The 24,955-nt window shown below is 37.1% G+C and overlaps 1 long non-coding RNA gene across 3 annotated transcripts in view; it reads left to right on the top strand.

Moving 5' to 3' along the window:
* Positions 1–24,955, top strand: part of LOC105376107 (uncharacterized) — a 378,142-nt gene that overhangs the window by 297,893 nt on the left and 55,294 nt on the right. For 2 of the 3 annotated variants that reach the window (XR_002956914.2, XR_002956913.1), the window contains exons 3-4: positions 1,912–2,025; positions 6,445–6,513. This is a non-coding gene — a long non-coding RNA (uncharacterized LOC105376107). The remainder of the gene's footprint in view (positions 1–1,911; positions 2,026–6,444; positions 6,514–24,955) is intronic. The other variant, XR_002956915.2, reaches the window with a different exon arrangement.

Here is a 24,955-nt window from a genome sequence, read left to right on the forward strand (position 1 = left end):
TTTTTCATTAAATCGCAGGGTTTTGCCATTTAAAAAGAACCTTTGTTCCACTGGGAGAGGGTAAGGCAGGGAACAGGGTGCCTTGATCCTGGGAAGAAGCAGCAACCTACTTTGTGTGTTGACTTTCTGTTTGTGAGATATATAGTCAGCATTTCTAATGAATCTGCTTGAAGCGGCTGGAATATTATGATTTATAGCACCTTCCCACTCTCTATCATAGCATTTTATTAGATGGATGGGAAGCTGGTAGTAATGAGGTTAGGAATGAGAAAACATCCATCAAGCCCTGCTACATCTTCTCAGGAAAGACAACACACTATCTCATATGTCACAGGCAGTGATCTAGGTCACGATGATATAAAATGCATGATTAAAACCAAGCATTTGACACTAGATAATAGGCATCTAGTTAAAAAATAGCTCTAGTGTTCCCGACTTTTAATTAAACCCAACTCGTAAATATGCACTGTGGTAAATATACTGCAGAATGGGGCTTGTTTATATTCCACCACATAACAATTACCTCCAGAATGGGTGCTTTATTTCACTACATGGTGTTATTAGTCAGGCGATGGACTGAAATACAAATGTTAAGCCAGTGATGTCAGACAGGCATGCCAGAGCAGAATCATCCACCGACTCCTGCTGTCCCCTCCCACCTTCCTTGTTTTCCTCCTCCTTCCCTCTCCAATATCCTTTCACCCTCTCTACAAAGTTATCAATTTAAAATGAAACACATTTAGTCATTTCCAGCAATCTCTCACCATACCTTTGATTGCATCTGTCATAACTGGAAGAGAGAATATGTTTTAAATGCATAACTCTGGCATTCAGTAAATCCGTCCTATTAACAGGTTTATTCTTTGACAGAGGATTCATTTCTGAGAAAGTTTTAAAGATATCAAATCTGGAACTAATTAGTAATGCTATTATAAAATTAGATGATGAGGGGGTGGGGAACAGGCTAATAAAGCAGTCTAAAAATTTTTTATTAGGTACTTGGAAATTCTTGGCTGATAGAATGGACCATGAACGGAGCACTGGTGTAGGATCTGTCTGTCTGTCTGTCTATCTATCTATCTATCTATCTATCTATCTATCTATCTATCTATCTATCATCTTTTAGAGAAGGGATCTTGCTTTGTTGCCCAGCCTTGTTTTGAACTCCTGGGCTCAAGCAATTCTCCTGCCTTAGCCTCTGAAGTAGCTGGGACTACATACACGTGCCACTGTGCCAAGCCAGGATCTAGATTTAACTCTAACATTAATTGATCACTTGACATTTGTCTTAAGATGAAACTTTGATGAGTTTTCAAATTTGAAAAATGAGGGGATTAGGTAAGATCTTTTCTAATATCTCTTCCCCTCTAGTGTCTATGAATCTGTTAAATCACTGTGTCCAAACTTCAATGTCATACAGATCTCTTTGGGATCTTGTTAAGATGCAGATTTTGATTCAGCAGGTCTGAGATGGGACCTGACATTCTGCATTTCTGACAAGCTCCCAGGAAATGCTGATGCCGTTGGTCCACAGACTACACTTTGAGTAGCAAGTTGTTAAAATACAAGGATTATTTTTCACTGTTGCAACTTTTAAACTTCTGGGTCTTTCTTTTTCTCTCTCTCCAGTGTAATTACTTATTATTTATGTAATGTCCATAAAACACCTACCTTCTTTAAATGGTATGATGTTAGAACTGCTATCTTTTGGCTAACAGTATTAAGATCATTTCTGAATATATGATTACCCTCATGAAGTTCAGTTCAATTCAGTTAATATTTCTCAAGTGTCACAATCTAATTTAGTAACCTATCCTTGTGATCAGACAACTCTCTGTCAAAGCAATTTCTCATCCCTTTAGATCCAACATGTTCACATTTAAGCTCTTTTATCTTTCTCTGATTTCAAAGGCGATGAGGAACAGCTGATCACCTGTGGAAGTCATTTGTCCTAAATTGTCATGGACAGACCATGTGCCTTACAGCAAGAAAATTCTGTGAATAAACAGGAAGCCAGCCAGCCAGGTGTGTCCCCTAAGACTTGTGTCTCCCCAGAATGGAGGAGCAAATGGTTTCATACCCAGGATAGTCAAGCTGTTAACCAGCCACAAACAACTGTGTCTGGGTTGTTCTGTGCTGCCTGTGTGCACTTGGAATAAGGAGAGTGTATTAGTCTGTTCTGAGGCTGCTGTGAAGAACTACTGGCGAGTGGGTGATTTATAAAAGAAAGAGGTTTATTTGACTCACAGTTCCACATGGGGAGGCCTCAGGAAACTTACAGTCATGTCAGAAGGCACCTCTTCACAGGGTGGCAGGAGAGCAAATGAGAGCCAAGTGAAGAGGGAAGCCCCTTGTAAAACCATCAGATCTCATGAGAACTTACTATCACAGGAATAGCATGGGGGAAACTGCCCCCATGATTCAATTACCTTCTACCAGGTCCCTCCCATGACTCCTGGGGATTATGGAAACCACAATTCAAGATTAGGTTTGGGTGGAGACACAGCCAAACCATATCAGAGAGTTTCTTCCTGCATGAGATTTAACTTATTATTTTATTTCTTTTTAATGTGAAGATCACACCTCTATTCTCCTTTCCTTTATTTTCATTCAGTTTTGATGTGATTGCCATAATTATGTGTCAGCTATTACCGAGCACATTCTCATTACTCCATTTTTTGCTAGGATTGCTGGTACTGCATACCCTTTTGTTGATTAGTGAACTCTGAGGAGACTTCCTTGCACATGTCATGCTTTAGAGACAGTCTGATTTTACCTGATGAGTGATACTCAAAAGAACTATTATTTTGAACCAATTCACAAAATTAACATGTGATTTCAATTGGATTTTCCTAATGCAGTATTAGGAAATATATTAGGAAATATCAGTCATTAGGAAATATCAGTCATTATTTAACAAGAATACCAAAAAGAAAGAAAACAGTTATGAATCAATATTGTGCTTTCAGCTCTTAAAGATAGGAACCATGGTTTTTCTAAATTCTCTTTTTCTTTTTCTTTTTGAGACAGAGTCTCATTTTGTTGCCCAGACTGGAGTGCAGTGGTGCAATCTTGGCTCATTGCAATTTCTACCTACCATGTTCAAGTGATTTTCCTGCCTCAGCCTCCCAGGTAGCTGGGATTACAGGCATGTCACCACACCCAGCTAATTTTTATATTTTTAGTAGAGACAGGGTGTCACCATGTTGGCCAGGCTGGTCTCGAACTCCTGACCTCAGGTGATTCACCCACCTCAGCCTCCCAAAGTGCTAAGATTACAGGCATGAGCCACCGCGCCCAGCCAAATTTTCTTTTCTTTAAAGGTAATTCTGAGTTCTTTATTGTTCTCAAACATACCTTCTAAAGGTACCTTCTCGGAGATGTCTCAAAAACTTTCTTTTATACATAGCCCTGGTCCAGCACAGAATTTCACTGACATCTAGTCATTCCCCAACTTTCTGGATTATGCTTTAAAAAAAACTTTTAAGTTCAAGGCTACATGTGCAGGTTTGTTATATAGGTAAATTCATGTCACAGGGGTTTGTAGTACAGATTATTTAATAATGCAAGTATTAAGCCTAGTACCCATTAGTTACTTTTCCAGGTCCTCTCCCTCTTCCCATCTTCCACCCTCAGGTAGGCCCCAGTGTCTGTTGTTCCCCTCTATGTGTCCATGTGTTCTCATCATTTAGCTCCCACTTATAAGTAAGAACATGTGACATTTGGTTTTCTGTTCCTGCGTTAATTTGCTAAGGATAATGGCTTCCAGCTCCATCCATGTTTTTGCAAAGGACATGATCTTGTTCTTTTTATAGCTGCATAGTATCCATGTAGCCAAAAAGCACTTGTACCCCAAAAGCTATTGAAATTAAAAAAAAATTGAAAAGAAAAAAATGAAAACATTTTTCAAAATAATAGAAAAAATGATAAAGTATAATTTGCAAAATTAAAAACCCATATAACTGTACAACACAAAGAATAAGCCTAATGTAAAATCCTATGGACTTTAGTTCATAATGTATCAATATTGGTTCATCAATTGTAACAAGTATATTATAGTAATGGAAGATGTTAATTATATGGAAAATTGTGTATGGGGTGCGTGTTGTGGGAAATGGGAGAGTAAATGAGGGTGGAAGACAAAGGTGTTATTGGGAGCTTACCATACTTTCTGCTCATTTTTTTCTGTAAACCTACAACTGCCTAAAAGTCAAGTTTATTATTTTTACAAATATATAAACTCTATCATGATCCACACAATGTTTATTACAAATTGTCCCATTCTTGAATATAGATAGCTGAACTGTTTTCCATTTTACACAAAGAACTTTGCAAATTCAGCTTCAATTTCCATTTTTGATTAAAAAATGTCAGTACCTAATCACCTTTCCAGAAATTCTCAGGCAGCCACTAAAAGACCAGCATGCTTCAAAAATCTTCTCAACTCTTTAGAATCTTCCCGAGTCCTTCCCCACATCACTCTTCATGTTTCAGCAAGCTTATACTTCTTTTAGTACCCCAAACACGACAGGTTCTATACCGCCTTGGCATATTTTGGAATTTTTCTCTTCATTTTCTTCAAAGAGCTGGTTCTTTCTGGTTTTCCAGGTCTGGATTTCATTGTTACCCCGTGATAAGGTCTTCTCAGACCTTTTAATCTACATTTGAGCTACCCTGAGCCCTGTATCCCCACCCCAATTATTTTCTATTATTGTATTTTGTTGCCTTCGTACCACTTATCACAATTTTTAATTACTGTTTTATTTTCTTACTTATTCACCATTGTTCTTGCCCACTAGACTATAAGATCCCTAAGAGTCTGGAACCATAGATTTTGTTCATTAGTAATTACCCAGCACCCTGAGCAGTGCTAGGCACAGAGTAGAAGGTCAGCAATAGGGCAATTGATGGAGAAAATGATTTTAATATAAGATATGCAGGAGATAAAATACTAAAAGTATATGTCATTAATCACCTTTTTTGGTAATTAATTTGACAAGCTTAATAAAATGGACAGTTTTATTAAAGAAAATGTGAATTGCTAAAAATAATTTAAGAGGGAATAGAAAATTTGAATAATCACAGAATAAATTAAGAAGGTTGTTAAAGAACTAACTCTGAAGAAAATACCAGGTAAAGAATATTTTAAGGATAATTTTCCCCAAACCTTCAAGAAAAAAGCAATTTCTGTATTATTTTAAATGTTATTGAGCTTAGGAAAAGATGAATTGATCCCCAATTCAAATTTTATGAATAAAAAATATAGCCAGTTCACTTAAGAACAAAGATTCAAAAATCCTAAATAAATAATAGTAATTCCAATATAGACTGTATTAAAATAATCTGCTATTAATATTTTATTAAGTTTAGAAAAAGATGAATTGTTCCCCAGTTCATTTTATGAATTGCAAAAATAGCTAGCTTACTTAGGAATAAAGATTCAAAAACCCTAAATAAATAATATCGACTCAAATACAACATTATATTAAAATACTAATACATTGTGCACATGCTGACTTTATCTGAGACCTGCAAAGAAAATGTAAAAGTAAAAAATTTATTAAAACAATTCATCATATTAAGAGAACAAAGAAAGAAAAATTTTGTGATCATCTCAGTGTATGCTAAAAGGCATTTGTGAAATTCAATTTCACTGTATGAAGAAAATGTTTTGTGAAATCGTAATAGAAGGATATATATTTTGTATGAAGGAAAGTATTCTAAACCTAATGCAAGTATTCAAACTAAATGTGAAAAACTAAAGGAAGTATAGAGTAAGATTTGAAAGTACATTTTACCCCTATAAGTCTCAATTTCCTTATCTGTAAAATAGAAATAAAAAAGAGCATCTACTTTATAGGGTTGTGGTGAAGATTATATAATGTTTGTAAATAGCTTAGCACAGTACCTCGCACATAACAGAAATTAAATTTGCATTTATTTTCCCTGTTTATTATTAAAATACTGAGGGTAGTTTCATTTTGAATAAGTATATAGATGCTTAAGGCAACTTAAAAGGAAAGGAATGAAGCAAGATGGTCAGCAAAGAGTGTGATACTTGATTTTGGGTTGTGAGAGCCCAGAATAGTGAAGCTAAGGAGGGAGGGCCTTGGATTTAGAAATTCACATTCCCAAACCTTGACACTGAATGACCTCATACTAAATCCATAGCCTGGGAAATGCTGAGGCCAGTTGACTAGGGAAGAGGAACTATCATGGGAGTTACTCTGAGAAAGAACCAAAACACTGAATGCATTTGGCTTACCTAATTAAGCCAAACAAGGTATGTGTGTGGAGTCCTCACCTGCCCAGACTTTTTGAGAATCAAAATCTTGTTGTCTGTGCCTTGAGACCTTGCTTGATAGTCGTTTAGTTATAGTGGAGATAGTTTTGTGCCAATTTGGTGGTTTAAAATCTCATACTCCATTTGATACTGTTTTCTAGGGAAGATGCTTTTGTGATATATCCCAGCATGCTGATGACCCCAAGGAGGACCACTGGATACCTAGCAAGGTAAGAAAGAATAGTTTTTATTCCAAGATTTTTAGGTTTGAGGCTGGCCTAGGTAGGACAGGTTGGGCTGGGGATGCTGGAGAGTTATCATCCCTGTGACAAATATATGCCTACTAATAACGCAGGTCAATATTATTATTTAGCTTTGTTTTAGAATTTTTAGTCAGTAATATAATACAAGAAAAGGAAACTGTAAAAGTAATCATGTAATTCTTATTATTTATAATTATGGATTATTAATTATATTAGAAATATAATTATTTTTAATTTGTAGGATTGTTTACCTGGAAAAACTAAAAGAATTGATTGTAAAGCCCTGAGGTCTAATAGTAGAAACAGAGTTCAATAAGGGAACTCTCATATACAAAAATTCATAGAGTTCTTACAGCTCAGCAATAACTATCAAAAATATGAAGGAAAAAATGCCATTCAGAATAACAACATAAATTTATTTAAATGAAATTTGGAAGATCTCTTTTTAAAAAGTGCAAAACATTTAGTAAAAGACAAAAGAATTAAGTAGTTATCTACCCTATTCTCAGATAGGAAGAATCGGGATTTAGATACCAGAGTTTCCTCATTTTATATCAGTTATGTAAGGCCAATAGTATAGTGCATTTTTGGCTCTACCTGATGAAATGATTTGCAGTTATACAATATGATGAACTGTAATAACAGCTATAATATCAATATAGAGAGGATAAGAGGTTTCATATATGCACTATCAAATATTAAAGTAAGTGATAAATCTGCAATCAAAATAGTGTGTCAAGATTAGATCTATTAACAGAATAAAATCTAGTAATTAACACATGTATATATTAAAAACTGTATAGTAAGCAGAGGCTGGGTGTGGTGGCTCACACCTGTAATCGCAGCACTTTGGGAGGCTGAGGTGGGTAGATCATTTGCGACAAGGAGTTTGAGACCAGCCTGGCCAACATGGCAATACCCCATCTCTACTGAAAACACAAAAATTAGCCAGGTGTGGTGGCGGGAGGTGGAGGTTGCAGGAGCTGGAGATTGCAGTGAGCTGAGATCGTGCCACTGCACTCCAGCCCGGGCAACAGAGTGAGACTCCAACTCCCCCCAAAAAAACCCCAAAAATAAACAAAAAAAAAGTGTATAGTAAGCAGAAATTATATTTAAAAAGGTGCTGGAAATTTGGTTAATTAGTAAGGACAATGTACAAAAAAATCAAACCATACTTTACATTATATGATGAAATAACATTTAAATTTCAGATAGTTTACATATGTAAATATTAAAAATTAGATTACAAAGGTTACATTATAACCTTTAATTTATATGATATATAAAATATATACTGTATTATATAAATTTTATATTAGGATGTATTATAAATTTATATGAATCAAAGATGTGGAAATCTTTTATAAACTTAATTCTTTCTTAAAAAATTATAAAATAAAACAGATGATTCAGATTCTGTAACTATTTAACGTTTTCTTAAATTCTTAAATTTAAACTTAGGAAATTGAAATTTAAAATTAAATTTAAGAAAGTATACATTCTTAAAACTCACCGTAGTAAAGAAGATATGAGGACCTGGAGGAAAGCCAGAGAGACAGCTATTATATGGGTTAAAATTAGCAAAGACAATTCTTCAGAGTCTCTGGAGATTGATCATGGGGCTTGCTACATATTGAGGAATATTTAATAAGATCTATGGACTCTTTCATGAAGGTGTGGCAATTGAGTTAGGGACTGCCCCTGTTTATTTACAACTCTGTGTTCTGGAAAAGCTGTTCTATTCAGCAGCAGTTGAGTGCTAGATCCCATATCCCTCAACTTCCTTGGGTAGGAGAGCTATTCTTGGTAGATTGGGGAGCTGGTAAACATTGGCAAATCCGATTTTTCACAGCCCTGTGCTACAGAAGACGATATGAGTGGGTGGCAGCAGTGTCCATTCCTCCATTTCCAACTCTTATGAGGTATATAGTATCCGGATGAGGAAACTGGTGAAAAATACAGTCCCTCAATTCTACACAGCTCTGTGTCGCGGGAGAGCTGCTCTACTGGGGTTGGCATCCAAGTGTCAGATCCCATCATCCCCAACTCCCTGGGGCAGAAAAGCCAATCTGGTTAAATAGTAAGATGGCAAAACTCAGCAAATTTTATGCTCTTTGACTCTGGGCTGCAGAAGGTCTATACAGGGCTGTGATGGCAACTGGGTCGCAGAACCCCACCCCCACTATCCTCACACTCACATACAACTGCTCCGTAGAGAGGATCCAGCTAGAGCGGTCAGTAAGTTCACTATTCTCTCTCAGCTCCTGCTTCATAACAAAATTTCTGCTTAGGGAAAGGGGAGAGTTAGAGAAATGCTGAAAGACTGGCTGTGACCCATCTGTGCCAAAGATCCCCACATTATTTCAATCAGACTGTGGAACAATTTATGCCTCAGGGTATTGAAGCAATAGAGTGATCAGCTAGCAATAAATGATGGATAACAGCTGGGTTGATACCAATAGAGTCAGACCTGGCACAATCTTAACAGAGAGATTAAGTGAAGAAGAAAGTCAAAGAGAGCGTTGCAAAAACCATAGTTTTCCCTGGTGACTAGGAAGACTGTGCACATGCCCAGGGCTGCCTGCATTGAAGAGCAGCCAGAGAGACAGAAACATTAAGCTATAAGTTCCTGGCTGTATGCAGGGAAACTCACATACTTTGTAAACCATGAAAGCAATCTCCACCCCATTCACAGATTGAAGAGTAAAAGGTGAAAACCTCACTGGTTCACGGGGCTTGTTAAAACCTCTGATCAATCAGTGTCTGATCACTAAATGGTGATAACACACGATAACCTTCTAGGAAGCCAGGCCAAAAGATAAAAATAAAGAAAAAATATTTGAGTAGGAACATCAGAGGCTGTATGCTGCAGAAAAAATAGACTTTACTGAACTAGCCCAGCCTAGCCATTAAGCAAATATAAAACAAACAGCAAGAGAAGCCTCAACTAGCTTGTGGAGGTGAGTATTATCAGTATGCGGAGCTGCTGCTATAGACAGACGCAGAGCAAGATGGCGGAATAGAAGGCTCCACCGATCATCCCCTCTGCAAGGATGCCAAGTTAATAACTATCTACACAGAAGAAACACATTCATAAGAACCAAAAATCAGGTGAGCCCTCACAGTACCTGGTTTTAATGTCATATCACTTGTAAGAGGCACCAAAGAGATAGAAAAAACAGTCCTGAATTGTGGATGCCACCCACCTTCCCCCGAGGCAGCTGCAGCAGTGGATGGTGTGGAGAACATCTCTGGGCACTGGGGGAGAGAGAACACAGCACTTATGAGTCATTGAACTCCGTGCTGTCCTGTAAGAGCAGAAGGGAAAACTAGACCAAACTCAGCTGCTGCCTGCCCATTGAGGGAGCATTTAAATCAGGCCTGGCCAAAGTGGAATCACAGTGGTCCGCCAAACTTGAGCTTTCATTAACCTTACCACCATGGGCTACAGTGCCCTGTGTCTCTAAATGAACTTGAAAGGCAGTCTAGGCCATAAGGACTGCAACTCCAACTCCTAGGTGCTTCCTAGTGCTGAGCTAGGCTCAGACACAGTGGACTGGGGTCGGGGGCACATGACATACTGAGACATCACCTGGGGCAACAAAGGGAGTCCTGGCATTACCCTTTCTCTAACCCTGGGCTGCACAGCTCACAGCTCCAAAAGAGACCTCTTTCTTCCACTTTAGGGGAGGAGAGGGAAGAGTCAGGAGGACTTTCTTTTGCATCTTGGATATCAGCTCAGCCGCAGGGCACCAGTCAGAGTTGTGAGGCCCCCATTCCAGGCCCTAGCTCCAAGGTGACATTTCTAGACATACTCTGGGCCAGAAGGGTACCTGCTACCTTGAAGGACAGGACCCAGTCCTGGCAGCATTCATTATCTGCTAACTGAAGAGCTCTTGGGCCCCAAATAAGCAGCAGGGATACCCAGGTACTACATCAATGACCTTGGGTGAGCCTCTGATACTTTAACTAGTTTCAGGTGAGACACAGCACATTACCAACTGTGGTGGCTACGTGGCAAAACTCCTTTTGCTTGAGAAAAGCAGGGGGAAATGTGAAGGAGGATTTGTCTTGCACCTTAGGTAACACCACACAGCCACAGGGGTATAGAACATCAAGTGGGTTCTTGGGGTTTCTGATTTCAGAACTTGACTCCTGGATAGCATTTCTGGACCTGCCCTGGGCCAGAGGGGAGCCCACTACCCTCAAAAGTGAGTCCCACACCAGGCAGCATTCACAACAAGCTGATTTAAGAGTCCTTGGGCCTTAAGGGAACATTGGTGGTAATCTGGCAGTACTCATCATGGCCTGGGGTGGTGGTGGCTTCAGGGTGAGGCTTCTCTGCCTTTGAAAAGGGGAGGGAAGAGTGGAAAAGACTGCATCTTGTGGTTTGACTGCCAGCTGATGCACTGTACAATAGAACACCAGGCAGACTTCTAAGGTTTTTGGCTCTAGTTCCTGACTTCTGGATGACACGTCCAGACCCACTCAGGGGCTAGGGAACTTCACTGCTCTGAAAGGAAGGACACAGTCCTGGCTGGCTTTGACCCAGCTGATTGTAGAGCCCCAGGGCCCAAAGCAAACATAGGCAGTAGCCAGGGAATGATTACAGCAGGCATTGAGTGAGACCCAGTGATGTACTGGCTTCAGGTATGACCCAGTGCCATCATAGCAGTGGTGGCCACAGGAGTGTTTGTGTTACTCCACCTCCAGCTTTAGATGGCTCAGAACAGAGAGAAAAAGAGACTGTTTGTTTGGGATACAGTAAGGGAAGAGAACAAGAGTCTCTGCCTGGTATTCCAGAGAATTCTCCCAGATCTTGTCCAAGATCATCAAGGCGATACCTCTATGAATCTGCAAGAATCACAGCATTACTGGGCTTAGGGGTGCCTCTTAATGTGGATGTAGGTTAGAACGCAACACTCAAGTCCTTTCAAATATCTGAAAAGCCTTCCCAAGAGGGACAGGTACAAATAAGCCAAGATGGTGAAGACTACAATCAATATCTAATTCTTCAGTGCCCAGACAGTGAAGACTAAAATCAATGCCGAACTCTTCAATGCCCAGACACTGAAGAACATCTCCTAGCATCAGCATCATCCAGGAAAACATGACCTCACCAAGTGAACTAAATAAGGCACCAGAGACCAATCTTGGAGAAACAGATATGTGACATTTCAGACAGAGAATTCAAAATAGCTGTGATATGGTTTGGCTGTGTCCCCACCCAAATCTCATCTTGAATTGTAACTCTCATAATTTCCATGTGTTGTGGGAGGGACCCGGTGGGACGTAACTGAATCATGGGGGCAGGTCTTACCCATGCTATTCTCATGATAGTGAATAAGTCTTATGAGATCAGATGATTTTATAAAGGGGAATTTTCCTGCGCAAGCTTTTCTCTTGTCTGATGCCATGATTGTGAGGCCTCCCTAGCCAGGTGGAACTGAGAGTCCACTAAACCTCTTTTTTTTTTGTAAATTGCCCAGACATAGGTGTCTTTATCAGCAGCATGAAAATGGACTAATACAAGCTGTTTTGAAGAAACTCAAAGAAATGCAAGATAACACTGAAAAGGAATTCAGAAGTCTATCAGATAAATGTAACAAAGATATTGAAATAATTAAAAAGAGTCCAGCAGAAATTCTGGAGCTAAAAAATGCAATTGGCATACTGAAGAATGCATGAAAGAACTTTAATAGTACAATTGGTCAATCAGAAAAATTAGTGAACTTGAAGACAGGCTATTTGAAAATAGAGGAGACAGAAAAATGAAGGATATGTACAGGATCTAAAAAATTGCCCCAAAAGGGAAAAACTAACAGTTATTAGCTTTAAAGAGGAGTTAGAAAAAGATATATGGCTGGGCATGGTGGCTCACACCTGTAATCCCAGCACTATGGGAGGCCATGGCAGGTGGATCACCTGAGGTCAGGAATTTGAGACCAGCCTGGTCAACCATAGCCAACATGATGAAATCCTGTCTCCACTAAAAATACAACAACAACAAAAAATTAGGCAGACATGGTGGTACATGCCTGTAATCCCAGCTACTTGGGAAGCTGAATTACTTGAATCCAGGAGGTGGAGCTTGCAGTGAGGTGAGATTATGCCACTGCACTCCAGCCTGGGCGACAGAGCAAGACTCTGTCTCAAAAAAAATAAATAAAATATAAAAATAAAGAGCGAGATGTGGGTAGAAAGTTTATTCAAAGGAATAATCACAAAGAACTTCCAAAACCTAGAGAAATATGTCAATATCCAAGTAAAAGAAGGTTATAGAACACTGGGCGGATTTAACCCAAAGAAGACTACCTCAAGGCATTTAATAATCAGACTCCCAGAAGTTAAGGTTAAAGAAAGGATCCTAAAAGCAGGAAAAGAAACAACATGAAATGGAGATCCAATACATCTATCAGCAGACTTTTCAGGTCAAGAGACAATGTCATGACATTTAAAGTGCTGAAGGAAAACAGCTTTTACCCTAGAATAGTATATCTGACAAAAATATTCTTCAAATATGAAGGAGAAATAAAGACTTTCCCAGACAAACAAAAGCTGAGGGAATTTATCAATATCAGACCTGTCTTAAATGCAAAAGGGAGTACTTCAGTCAGAAAGAAAAGGATGTTAATGAACAATAAGAAATCATCTAAAGGTACAAAACTCACTGGTAGTATTAAGTACCTAGAAAAACACCACTGTAACTGTGGTGTGTAAACTACTCTGATACTAATTACAAAGACTAAATGAAGAACCAATCAAAAATAATAACTACAACTTTATAAGACATAGTACAATAAGATATAAATACAAATAACAAAGTTAAAAAGCAGGGGAATAAAGTTAAGGCACAGAGTTTTTATTAATTTTCTTTTTGCTTATTAATACAAACTGTGTTGTTATCAGGTTAAAATAATTAGTTATAAGATAGTATTTGCAAGCCTCATGGTGCCCTCTAACCAGAAAAATATACAATAGATACACACACAAAAAAAAGAAATTATATCACCAGATAAAAATCACATTCACTAGAGGAAGACAGGAAGAAAAGAAAGAAGGAAGAGAGGACCACAGAACAACCAGAAAATAATAAGATGGCTAGAGTAAGTCTTTACTTATTAATAATAACACTGAATGTAAATAGACTAAACTCTCCAATCAAAAGATACAGAGTGGCTGAATGGATGAAACAAATGAAACCCTTTAATCTGTTGCCTACAAGAAACACTTTACCTAAAAAGACACACATAGATTGACCATAAAAGGATGAAAACTGATATTCTATGCCAAAGGAAACAAAAAGAGTGGAAGTAGCTATACTTACATCAGACAAAATAGATTTCAAGAGAAAAACTATAAGAAAAGACAAAGAGGATCACTGTATAATGATAATGGGGTCAATTCAGCAGGAGGATATAACAATTGAAAATATATATGCACCCAACACTGGAGCATCTAGATATATAAAGCAAATATTATTAGAGTTAAAGAGAGAGATAGGCCCCAATACAATAATAGCTGGAGACATCAACACCCAACTTTCAGCATTGGACAGATGTTCCAGACAGATAATCAATAAAGAAACACCAGACTTAATCTGCATTACAGACCAAATGGATCTAAAATAGATATTTACAGAATTTCATTCAACAGCTGCAGAATACACATTCTTTTCCTCAGCACATGGATCATTCTCAAGGATAGGTGGTATGTTAGGTCACAAAACAAGTCTTAAAACATTGAGAAGATAGAAATAATATCAAGCATCTTCTCTGACCACAATGGAATAGGACAAGAAATAACAAGAGGGATTTTGGAAACTATACAAATACATGGAAGTTAAAAAAAATGCTCCTGAATGACCAGTGGGTCAATGAAGAAATTAGGAAGGAAATTGAAAAATTTCAGAGGGGCATTATGTAATGATAAAAAGATTAGTCCAGCAGGAAAATACCAGAATCCTAAAGATAGATTCAGCTAAGACTGGAGATCCCAAATTCATAAAGCAGTTACTACATAACATAAGAAATGAGATGGATAGCAATACAGTAATAATGGGGACTTCAATACTTCACTGACAGTGCTGGATAGGTCATTAAGACAAAAAGAAACAATGGACTTAAACTATACCCTAGAAAAATGGACTTAACAGATATTTACAGAACATTCTACCCAACAAATGCAGAATATACATTTTTTCCATCATCACATGGAATATTCTCCAAGATAGGCCATATGATAGGTCACATAACAAGTCTAAATAAATTTAAGAAAATGTTAATAAATTAAAGAAAATTGAAATTGTATCATGTACTCTCTTAGACCACAGTAGAATAAAACAAAATTAACTCTTGACCTGGCACAGTGGCTTACGCCTGTAATCCCAGCACTTTGGGAGGCTGAGGCAGGTGGATCACAAGGTCAGGAGATGGAGACCATCCTGGCTAACACAGTGAAGCCCCATCTCTACTAAAAATACAAAAAATTAGCTGGGTGTGGTGGTGGGCGCCTGTAGTCCCAGCTACTCAGGAGGCTGAGGCAGGAGAATGGCGTGAACCTGGGAGGCGGAGCTTGCAGTGAGCCGAGATGTTGCCACTGCACTCCAGCCTGGGCCACAGAGTGAAACTCTGTCTCAAAAAAAAAAAAACAAAACTTTATATTTCATTAAAATGTGATACAAATATTAATAGCCTACTCAAGTATATTTACCACCCAGCTTAAAAAATACTACTAATATTGATGAAACTCATGTTCCATAGTATATGTGTTCTTCTGTAACTTTCTTTTCTTCTAACATTACATTAATATGATTTATCCATATTTACATGTGCGTTTCACTTTTGCTGCTTCCTTGTATTCCATCGTATGACTATACCATAATTTATTTAGTGATCCATTCACCTATCAATGAACATTTAGATTGTATATCTATTAGGATGGGATACACTATGCTAAGCTCAAATCTCAATGGCTTAAAATATTTTATTTTGGTTTGGATTTTGTATTGCAGATGGTGGAGGTTCTGTCAGTCTGGGTCCCACCCAAGATGTACAGTTTATTCTACATGTCCACCATGGGTGGGACCCAGACTGACAGAAACTCCACCATCTGCAATACTCTGGTCACTGTAGCTGGGGAAGTCACTGAGGTAAATCATTTACAGTCTCTTAAAAACTTTTCACCCAGAATTGACCCATGTTCCTTCTATTCAGATTGTACTGGCCATAGAAAATTACATTGCCGCATTTAATTTCAAAGGATTAGGTTAGAGCTGTGTAATACTGCCACATACCCATGAGGAAAAGAATTGTAATACTAGCAAACAGCTCTAAGATAATTGCAAGTGGTTTTCAAAGTTTTGTCTTGTGGAGTGGCATTGTTAGGTCATGGGGTATAGACAGTTCAACTTTACTGGATATTATCAGAATGCTCTCCAGAGTTGTATGAGCTTGTACTCCCACTAGCAATGCATAAAAGTCAACTTTGTGCTGTGTCCTCACCAGCATATTCAGTTTTCTTTTTTGCTATTGTCTTATGCAATGGCACCTCATTGTGGTGTTAATATTTATTTCTCTTACTACTAAGGAGGTGGGGTATCTTTCCAGGTGTTTATTAGCCATTCTTCCTTTTCTATCAATTGCCCATTTAAGTATTTTGTCTGTTTTTCTGAGTTTGTTTTCATTTTTATATTAGTTTATTGGAGTCTGGCAGTTATTTTTGAATAATAATTATTTATGATTATTGGTGTTATAATTATCTTTCCCCAGTCAGCGATTTGTTTTGATGCAAACTTGACTTATGGTCAAGTTTGTCAAAAGTTTTTGCTAAGCTTTTTGAGTTCTTTGTGTGTGTGTGTGTGTTTGCATGCATGCAAGTTTACTTTAAAAAAAATCATTACTCTGATGTTGTAAAGATATTTTTCTCTATTTCATTTTACATGATGTACAGTTTTTCTTTCTATAATTAGCTACTTAATTCACCTGGGATTAGTATTTTGCATATAATATGAGGTAGGGATTTGAGTTTGCATTTTTTTCGTATGGTTAGCCTACTCTCTCAGCACAAAAGAATAGTCCAACATTTCACTAATTAGCATTGCTTTGTGATGTATGCTTGATATATGTGTAGGAATCTTTCTGGGCCTTTTTTTCTGTTTTGTCTATTTCTCTAAATCTTTATCAATTCCACCATGTCTTATTATTTTAGCTTTATAATAGCTTGACATTTGATAAGAAGTGTGGATATTTCATATTTATTCAACCAGTACAAAGAAGGCATATACTCTAGTCCAGGTAACTTTCTACATGTTGTAGATATAAAATTGGAAAAAAAAATTCTCCTTTCTGGGAATGTAGAATCTTTTGAGAAAGTCTGCCTAGTGAACATGTAAATTATAATACAAATGTTAATACTATAATATGTGCATATAATATGTGCTCCAGACACACTCTGTCTGGAATAGGAGAGAAGCAGAAACTATGTGTTGAGAATTAAAAAAAAATTAGATTACACGATTCCAAATCTATTCCCAAGAAATTGTAGCCTTATCTATAAAATCAAGAGTAGTGTTTGAGTAGGTTAAGAATGGACCTCGGGCTGTAGTTTAGATATATCTGACCTAGAGGTGAAAATGATGTATTTATTAAATAGATTTTGTATTCTATCATGTCTACTTGGCACAAAGATTCCACAGAGATTCCATTTTGCTGATCTTTTTACTTTCATTGGCTTTAGATCTATTTTACATTCTTCATTATGGACAGGCCATTATGAAAAACTCTTGAGGGTTGATTATATTTGTGCCTAATTCTGTAGGCCTAGAACTAGATTTAGGCCTATAGAATTTAAAAACTTACATGAAAGGAAGGCAACCAGATGATAACTCAAATTTTATTTTTATGAATGTGGCTATAAAGTTGTTGCTTGAGACACTAACAGAATGATAGATTACTTCAAAAGCATTATAGTATCTCATCTAAGGGAATTAATGATTCTAATCAACCCCTTTGTACAGGTACACCCTAGAGGTTTGGGTTGATTTCTATGTTTCACTTTTTAGGAGGGACAAAAGTAAACTGATACATTCTTGGAAGAGAGCCCTAGGTAGATGTGGACTTAAAATTCAGTGAGATTATTGATGAATGAAAGCATAGGGATTGTTTTGACAGGAATGGTAGGTAGTAGGGGTTGGGAAAAACAGGTTATCTTTTGAAGTATTTGTCTTTAAATGGCAGCAATAAGATGAATGGATCATGCCTGATGGAAATTCCTTCTTACTAGCTATGTTCAAACATGGATTCACTAGTAGATCTATTCAGAGAAGTCCTATAGAAGAGATTCAAAAGTATTTGTCAAGATGAGTTCTATGATAACACAAACTTCTTGAGATATTATATCGTTTTGCTTCTTTATTAAAATTTTCTTGATGTGCAAATGATACTACCCCATGTTTTGGAGTCTTGTTTTGTTTTAATTTTTCATTTTTTCCCCTGTTTTGTAAACAATGAAAAATAGAGTAAAATGCCCTTCAACTTCACATATATGTGACTATAACCTTAGTCTAACCTACTAATTCTGTGCTGATCTTGCATTTATCACTTGCCCTCACCGGCCAACCTATTCAGAGCTGCAAAAGAGCAAAACAAGATATGCAATTGTAATTTGAGTGTGTTACTAAGCTTGTGTTGTTGTAAATAATAGTTTTAGAAACAAGGAAGAGCAGTGAAGACAGAGTGTGAAATCTTTGGGTAGGAACTACATCTGATTTGCCCTTCTATTTAACTCTGTTGACTAGCATATTGCCTGGAAAATAAAAATGCACAATAAATACTGGTTTAGTTAAAAACAAAACCTACTTTAACCCCAGCACTTTGGGAAGACATGGCAGGCAGATCGCTTGAGGTCAGGAGTTCAAGGCCAGCCTGGCCAACATGGTAAAACCCCGTCTCTACTAAAAATACAAATATTAGCTGGGCACGGAGTGGCACGTGCCTGTGGTCCCTGCTACTCAGGAGGCTGAGGCATGAGAGTTGCTGGAACCCAAGAGGCAGAGATTGCAGTAAGCTGAGATTGCACCACTGCACTCCAGCCTGGGTAACAGTGAGACTCTGTCTCAAAAAAACAAAACAAAACAAAACAAAACAGAAACGGAAAACACAACCTGTCATTTCTCAATAATCATATAAATTGTGTTATCAGTGGTAAAGAGAACTTTAGATTCATAGTCATGTATTTGTTCTTTGTGCACAGAATTTCATGTAATCAACATTTATTGTGAACTATAGGGGAGGGGAAAGCAGTATTAGGTGCTGGGAGAAAATGGAATGACTTGAAAGGTTTGGAAGCCAGTGGTTTAGTTTTGAGCACATGATGAAGACATTATAAATACTTTACAATGCTACAAAACAACATGCATTCACTTTCTCAAGTGCAGAAGCATTTGTGAAATTCAGCAAAAAACAACTGAAAATTTTTGTGGCAAAAACCTTAAGCCTTTAATTTCTAACTTTTGCTAACCAATTCCTTTGTACTCCAAAGGGTATCAGTAATTTATATTTTGATTTACATATTGTATTCGTCTGTTCAGGCACTGCTATAAAGAAATACTTGAGACTGGGTAATTTATAAATAAAAGAAGTTTTATTGGCTGACAGTTCCTCAGGCTGTACAGGAAGCATGATGCTGACATCTGCTCAGCTTTTGAGGAGCCCTCAGGAAACTTACAATCAGGGCAGAAGGCAAAAGGAAAGCCAGCACTTCACATGACTGGAATGACTGGAGCAGGAGAAAGAGAGAGAGTGGCGAGGTGTCATACTCTTTTAAACAACCAGATCTCTGGATATCTCACTCACTCACTGTCATGAGAACAACACTGAGGGGATGGTGCTAAACCATTCATGAATAATCATCCCCATGATCCAATCACCTCCCACCAGGCCCCACCTCCAACACTGGGGATTACAATTCAACATGAGATTCAGTGAGGACATACATCCAAACCATATCACCTATTATTTGAAATGATTTTAAGTTAACTATTAAAGTTTTCTTTGATGGCTTTAAAAACCAAGTTATACCAACTTTACCACACTTAGGAATTGTGACTTTGAAAGAAATCTGGACATAAGCTCATCTTTTTTGGAGGGTACTGGCACATGTTATATATGAAGGTAGGTACTCATCCCAAACACTGAGATTTCATTATGAAATGGGGCAAGAATAGTTTTATGGAGAATAAGTAAATTCCTAGTGTGAGTGCAAGTTGTCATCTTGATGCCACTGTGATCCTCAGCAAAAGTGATTTATTGTATTGGATTATATTATCCACCTATTTTTTCACATGCTTCTTTTACTATGATATTATGCAGGCAACTATGACCACTGTCGAATGCTCTCTCAGCCACATCTTTTATACTGTGCCAATTAAGCAGAAGGTGGGGAATGTTGTCAGAGGGACTTAAATGTCTCATCTAAAGGTCAGCACCTAATGACAAGACAGCATTTATCCTGAACTGGACTGTAGAGTCAGCACTGGGTTTGAGCCCAGTTGCTGTTGTGGGACTTCAATATACAGTCCTCCAAATGAGAACAGGTGGTGTCAAAGGAACTATACTGGTGTTCAAGATATATCCTAAAATAGATTTAAGCCTCTCCATGACCTCATTTTGCCGCTCGGGCTTGCTTACGAGTGTGTTTTTGGGTGGTGTTAATGTTCCAGTGTTAGCCATTATAATTTATGGACTGACATAGGATCGTTAGCACTGAGCATGGATTGTGCTCAGTAGCCAAGGCATAACTTTTTCCCCTCTGTGTTTCCTACAGCTGGTCAGTGTTTTGTAACCAGGGCACCAACTCTGCAGCCAGTTCGTAACTTTAGATGTTTGATTGGGTGTGTAGTTGGCATCACAGACACGGTTAACCAAGGATAATATTAGAGTATGAGTGACAGTTTCAATATTTTATTCCTGTTAGAACTAGCTTTAGCACAAGTTGAAACCAGGTAACTGAACCTATAGTAAGATTTTATTTAATAAAATCATTTCATGCAAGGTAACAGTAACTGTGACTGTTTAGCCTTGGAGCAGGTGAAGGAGTTAACGATTTTGTCAATTAAAGTTTCATCAAAGTAAGCCATAGATGTTCTATTTCTGGAAAGAGTAATAATGTTACAAGGTTTACAATGAAAACCAGCAGACCTTTGACCTCTTTTTCCCTACTGTCAGTCCTGCTTTCAAGAACCACCACTTTTCATTCTGTCAATGCTTCTGGTATTTGCCACCATTTTTCTATATAACACAGTTATACTTGCGGTTCTTGATTCTTCAGTTTTAGATATTACATATTGAGTTTTTATTTTTATTATGACAGATATGAAAGATAAAGGTTTAACTCTTTTAAACTCCATTTGCCTCCAACATACATTATTCCCCTTCTCCCATCCTCTTTTTCACAATGTTTGGTGAAATCAGTATTTTGTTTCTCATTGTTACTAAATAAATTGGTTCTCAATGGGTGCAGGAATAGTCATTCTTAATGATTGTTCATTAAGACATTATAATAATTAGGTTAAGGGATTTGATGCTGTCAGGGTGATTCCCTGATAACACTGTAGACATAGACAGGGAACAGATACACAGAACAGAGAGAAACAAGCTGCTTCCTGGGCTTGATTGGAACACAGCAATGAAGACATTTGCCCATAACTGTGCTAGGGGTGAAGCAAGTGAGAAAGGGGTATGGGTTAATTAGGAGGGACACTGTGGAGGAGATTGCAAACGTCTTTGCAAGGATTTTTGAAAATGTATGGGGGCATTTTTTGGAGTTCACAATGGTTTGGGGCACAAGTGATGCTTAATGGATGGAGTCCAGGGCTACTAGACCTTGTGCAATGCATGGTCAAAGAGTTGTCCTGCACCCCACCTGAATGTCCTGCTGAAATGCTGTACATAGGTACCTTAGTGTAGATAAAAAACTCATTTATAAATATCTGAACCCAGAACCTGTCAGAATTTTACATAAAAACACACAGTATTCTAACAGCGTTTCACTATATGCTGAATTTTCTAGGAATTAACCACCAGACTAATCAATGAAAGATTGTCATTTGTTGTTTGGAGGTTTATTAAGACTTGCACACTATTTGGAAAATCATATGCCCCAAAACACCCCCGGTGCTATTTTAATTAATATATTAATATATGTCAATCTATATTTATAGCTGTTACATTCATGAAGATTCTCAATTAGATGCAATATCTGCTACTTTATTTTATCTGTTAATGTAATCAGTATCCAAATCTGTTTATTTACATATTAGAATATTTGTTATTTCATTAAATTTTACTTTTGTGTATTTCTTCATCATATTTCAGTTAGGATGTAACATTGATGTTTTTCTTTATGTTATGAACATAGGCAAGTTATATACCTATGAATTTCATCAATTCATTATAAGATATGTGTTATAAAAATATGAAATATGATCTGAGTTGAAAATAGAATTATAGCTGAGTCACAAAGTGACTTTTTTGAATAAGCTTTTTTTATATTTTCATTGTTTTTTTAAAATATAATTATCAAGAATTGTAAAACTCATCTTAATATAGTTCACATGTCAGAGAAAACACCAATATCATGATCTACTTAGTGAAATCCCCCTTCCTGTTGCGACCCTATCTCTTTTCTTTTCTTTCTAGGTCTGGAACATAGCTCTTATTCTGGGATTTCATCTGTGATCATCCTGGGAATTTTCTGTATGATCTTGGGTCCTGTTCCCATTTCTTCCTTTTTCTTACTTCATTCCCTGATTTTGATGGAACATTTTCTAAAATGGCTTCATCAGAAAGGGTAATAAGGTAAATTCTGTGAGACTGTATGTGTCTGAAAATATATTTATTCTATCCTCACACTTGTTTGATAATCTGACTAGGTATCAAATTCTAGGTTTGAAATAATTTTTCCTCAGAATTTTGAAGGCATTTTTGTTGAAATCTAATGCCAGTTTAGTTCCTAATTCTTTATATATTACTTGCTTCTCTCTCTCCCACTCTCCCCTCGCTATCTTTGAGAACATTTGTAATCTTCTTTATTCCTGGGGTTCTGATATTTTACAATGATATATTTTGGTGTGAAATTTTATATATTAGTGGAACTGAATATTCAGTGGGAGGTATGTTATCTGTTAATTTTTATACTGCACTCATTTTATGTATTATTTATCTGATACTTTTCTCCCATTCATTTTTTTATTCTCCTTTTTTCTGGAACTTTTGTAATAATGACTTTCAAAATTAATTTTTAATTATATGTCTACATATACATAAATGTTATATATTTAAAATCCTATTTAATGGATACTTTCTTCAAGTTTATCTATTAACAAAACCATTACTTTTTGATGTCCTATCACCTCTTCAATTACCCAAGCTCAGTTATGTTATCTTAGATATTGCATTTTGGCAATATTCTGTTCTTGTTCTTAGATGTACTCCTTTTTTTTTTTTCCTTAGTATGTCCATTATAATATTCTAAATTTTTCTTCAGTTCAGTGCACTGTTTACATTTCTTCTGAATTCTTATTTTCATCTGGCCTGGTTTGGTCTCTGCTTCTTTCATGTTAGACATACCCCTCAAATATCTAGTGATCTTTGACTATTCTTTGTACTTGTATTAGTTTTTTACTGCTGCTGTAATAAATTACCACAATTGTAGTGGCTTAACACAATACAGGTTTATTATCTTATAGCTCTGGAATTCAGAGGTTCAAAATAAATTCCACTAGGCTAAAATTAAGGTGTTGGTATAGCTGATTTCATTCTAGAGGCTTTAGGAGAATACATGTTTCCTTGCTTTTTCCAAATTCTAGAGGTTACCTGAAGTCCTTAGCTTGTAGGTCCCTTCTTCCGTCTTTAAAGTACATTACTCCACTTCTGATTCCATCATCACGTCTTTTTTTTTTTCTCACTTGACCCTCCTGGTTGCCTTTTATAAGGACCCTTGTCATTACATTGGGCCCACCCAGATAATTAAGGACAATCCCTACAAATCAAAATCCTTAACTTAATCGTATCTGCCAAGTCTTTTTACCATGTAGAATATAATATTCACAGGGTCCAGAGATTAGGATGTGGACATCTTTGGTCATGGGAGGGGAATTGTTTTGTTTATTGGTGTTCTTTAAGAAATGAATCTCTGATTATTGATAAGTTGTGTGTGTATGGTTAAGTGATTGCACCAGTGGCCCTTAATTTCATTCATTGGGAGACAACCCATTGATGTCTCCTAGAAGCTTTTGTCTCTCAGCTGATCATTTCTGTGACAGAGAAATTCTACTAGAGGGTTGTAAGCCTAGCTGTTAGAATTCTGCGAGCCATACAGGTAAAGGAGTTTGAGGGAGGCAATAGCAGTTCTCACCATTCAATATGCAGGATATTACTCATTCATCTTCTTTTCAGCACAGATCGCCATTTCCACCCTTAGCTTTGGTGTTTCCATGTCTTCTGTGATTGAATTGTCCTAACAGCCAGCAAAGATCAGGGTTCTCACTAGCAGAGAAAAGAGAAGGAAGGGATATGGTGGTCTGACCACTCCTGATACAGACTTTCACCCAGTCCTGCTTTCAGACGAACTCCATGCCCAGCTTTCAGAAGTACTCAGAACCTTCAATTCCTGAGTTACTCTGGAGTTCTACAGTGAATGTTTATTTTTTCACTGATTTTGCCCTATGTAGGCTTTCAGAAACAATGATTATTTATCTGTCCCATTTTCAGGCTTTAAAAAATGTTACTGTCTTTCATCTGCTGTTCTTCCCTTTTCTGTTCTTAGCCCTTGTTCACATCTATTTTTTAAAAATTCCATTACTATCATTTTAAAGCTGTTTTATAGGGAAGCAGGGATAAACTGCATGCTTAAACTGTCACATTTAACTGCAAACTTAAGAATTAGCAGTCTTAAAAGGAGGGGCATATCCAAACAAACACTGAAGGAGGTACAAAAGGTTGAATGGGTTAAATGTTCTGTAAATGTCTGTTAGGTCTATTTGGTTTAAAGTGCAGTTTAAATCCAGTGTTTCTTTGTTGATTTTCTGTCTAGATGATCCGTTCAATGCTGAGAGTGGGGTGTTGAAGACCCTAACTATTATTGTATTGGAGCCTGTCTCTCTCTTTATATCTAATAATATTTCCTTTACATTTCTGGGTGCTCTCATTTTAAGTGCATATATTTGCAATTGATATATTTTTTAAATGAATTGATCCCTTTATCATTATATAGTGATCTTTTTTGTCTCTTTTGACTGTTTTTGACTTAAATTCTGTTTTGTCTGATGTAAGTTATAGCTACTCCTGCTTGGTTTTGGTTTCTGTTTCTGTTGAATATCTTTTTGCATCTCTTCACTTTCAGTCTATGT

This window comes from Homo sapiens, chromosome 9, assembly GCF_000001405.40.
Source record: "Homo sapiens chromosome 9, GRCh38.p14 Primary Assembly".
Taxonomy (NCBI): Eukaryota; Metazoa; Chordata; class Mammalia; order Primates; family Hominidae; genus Homo; species Homo sapiens.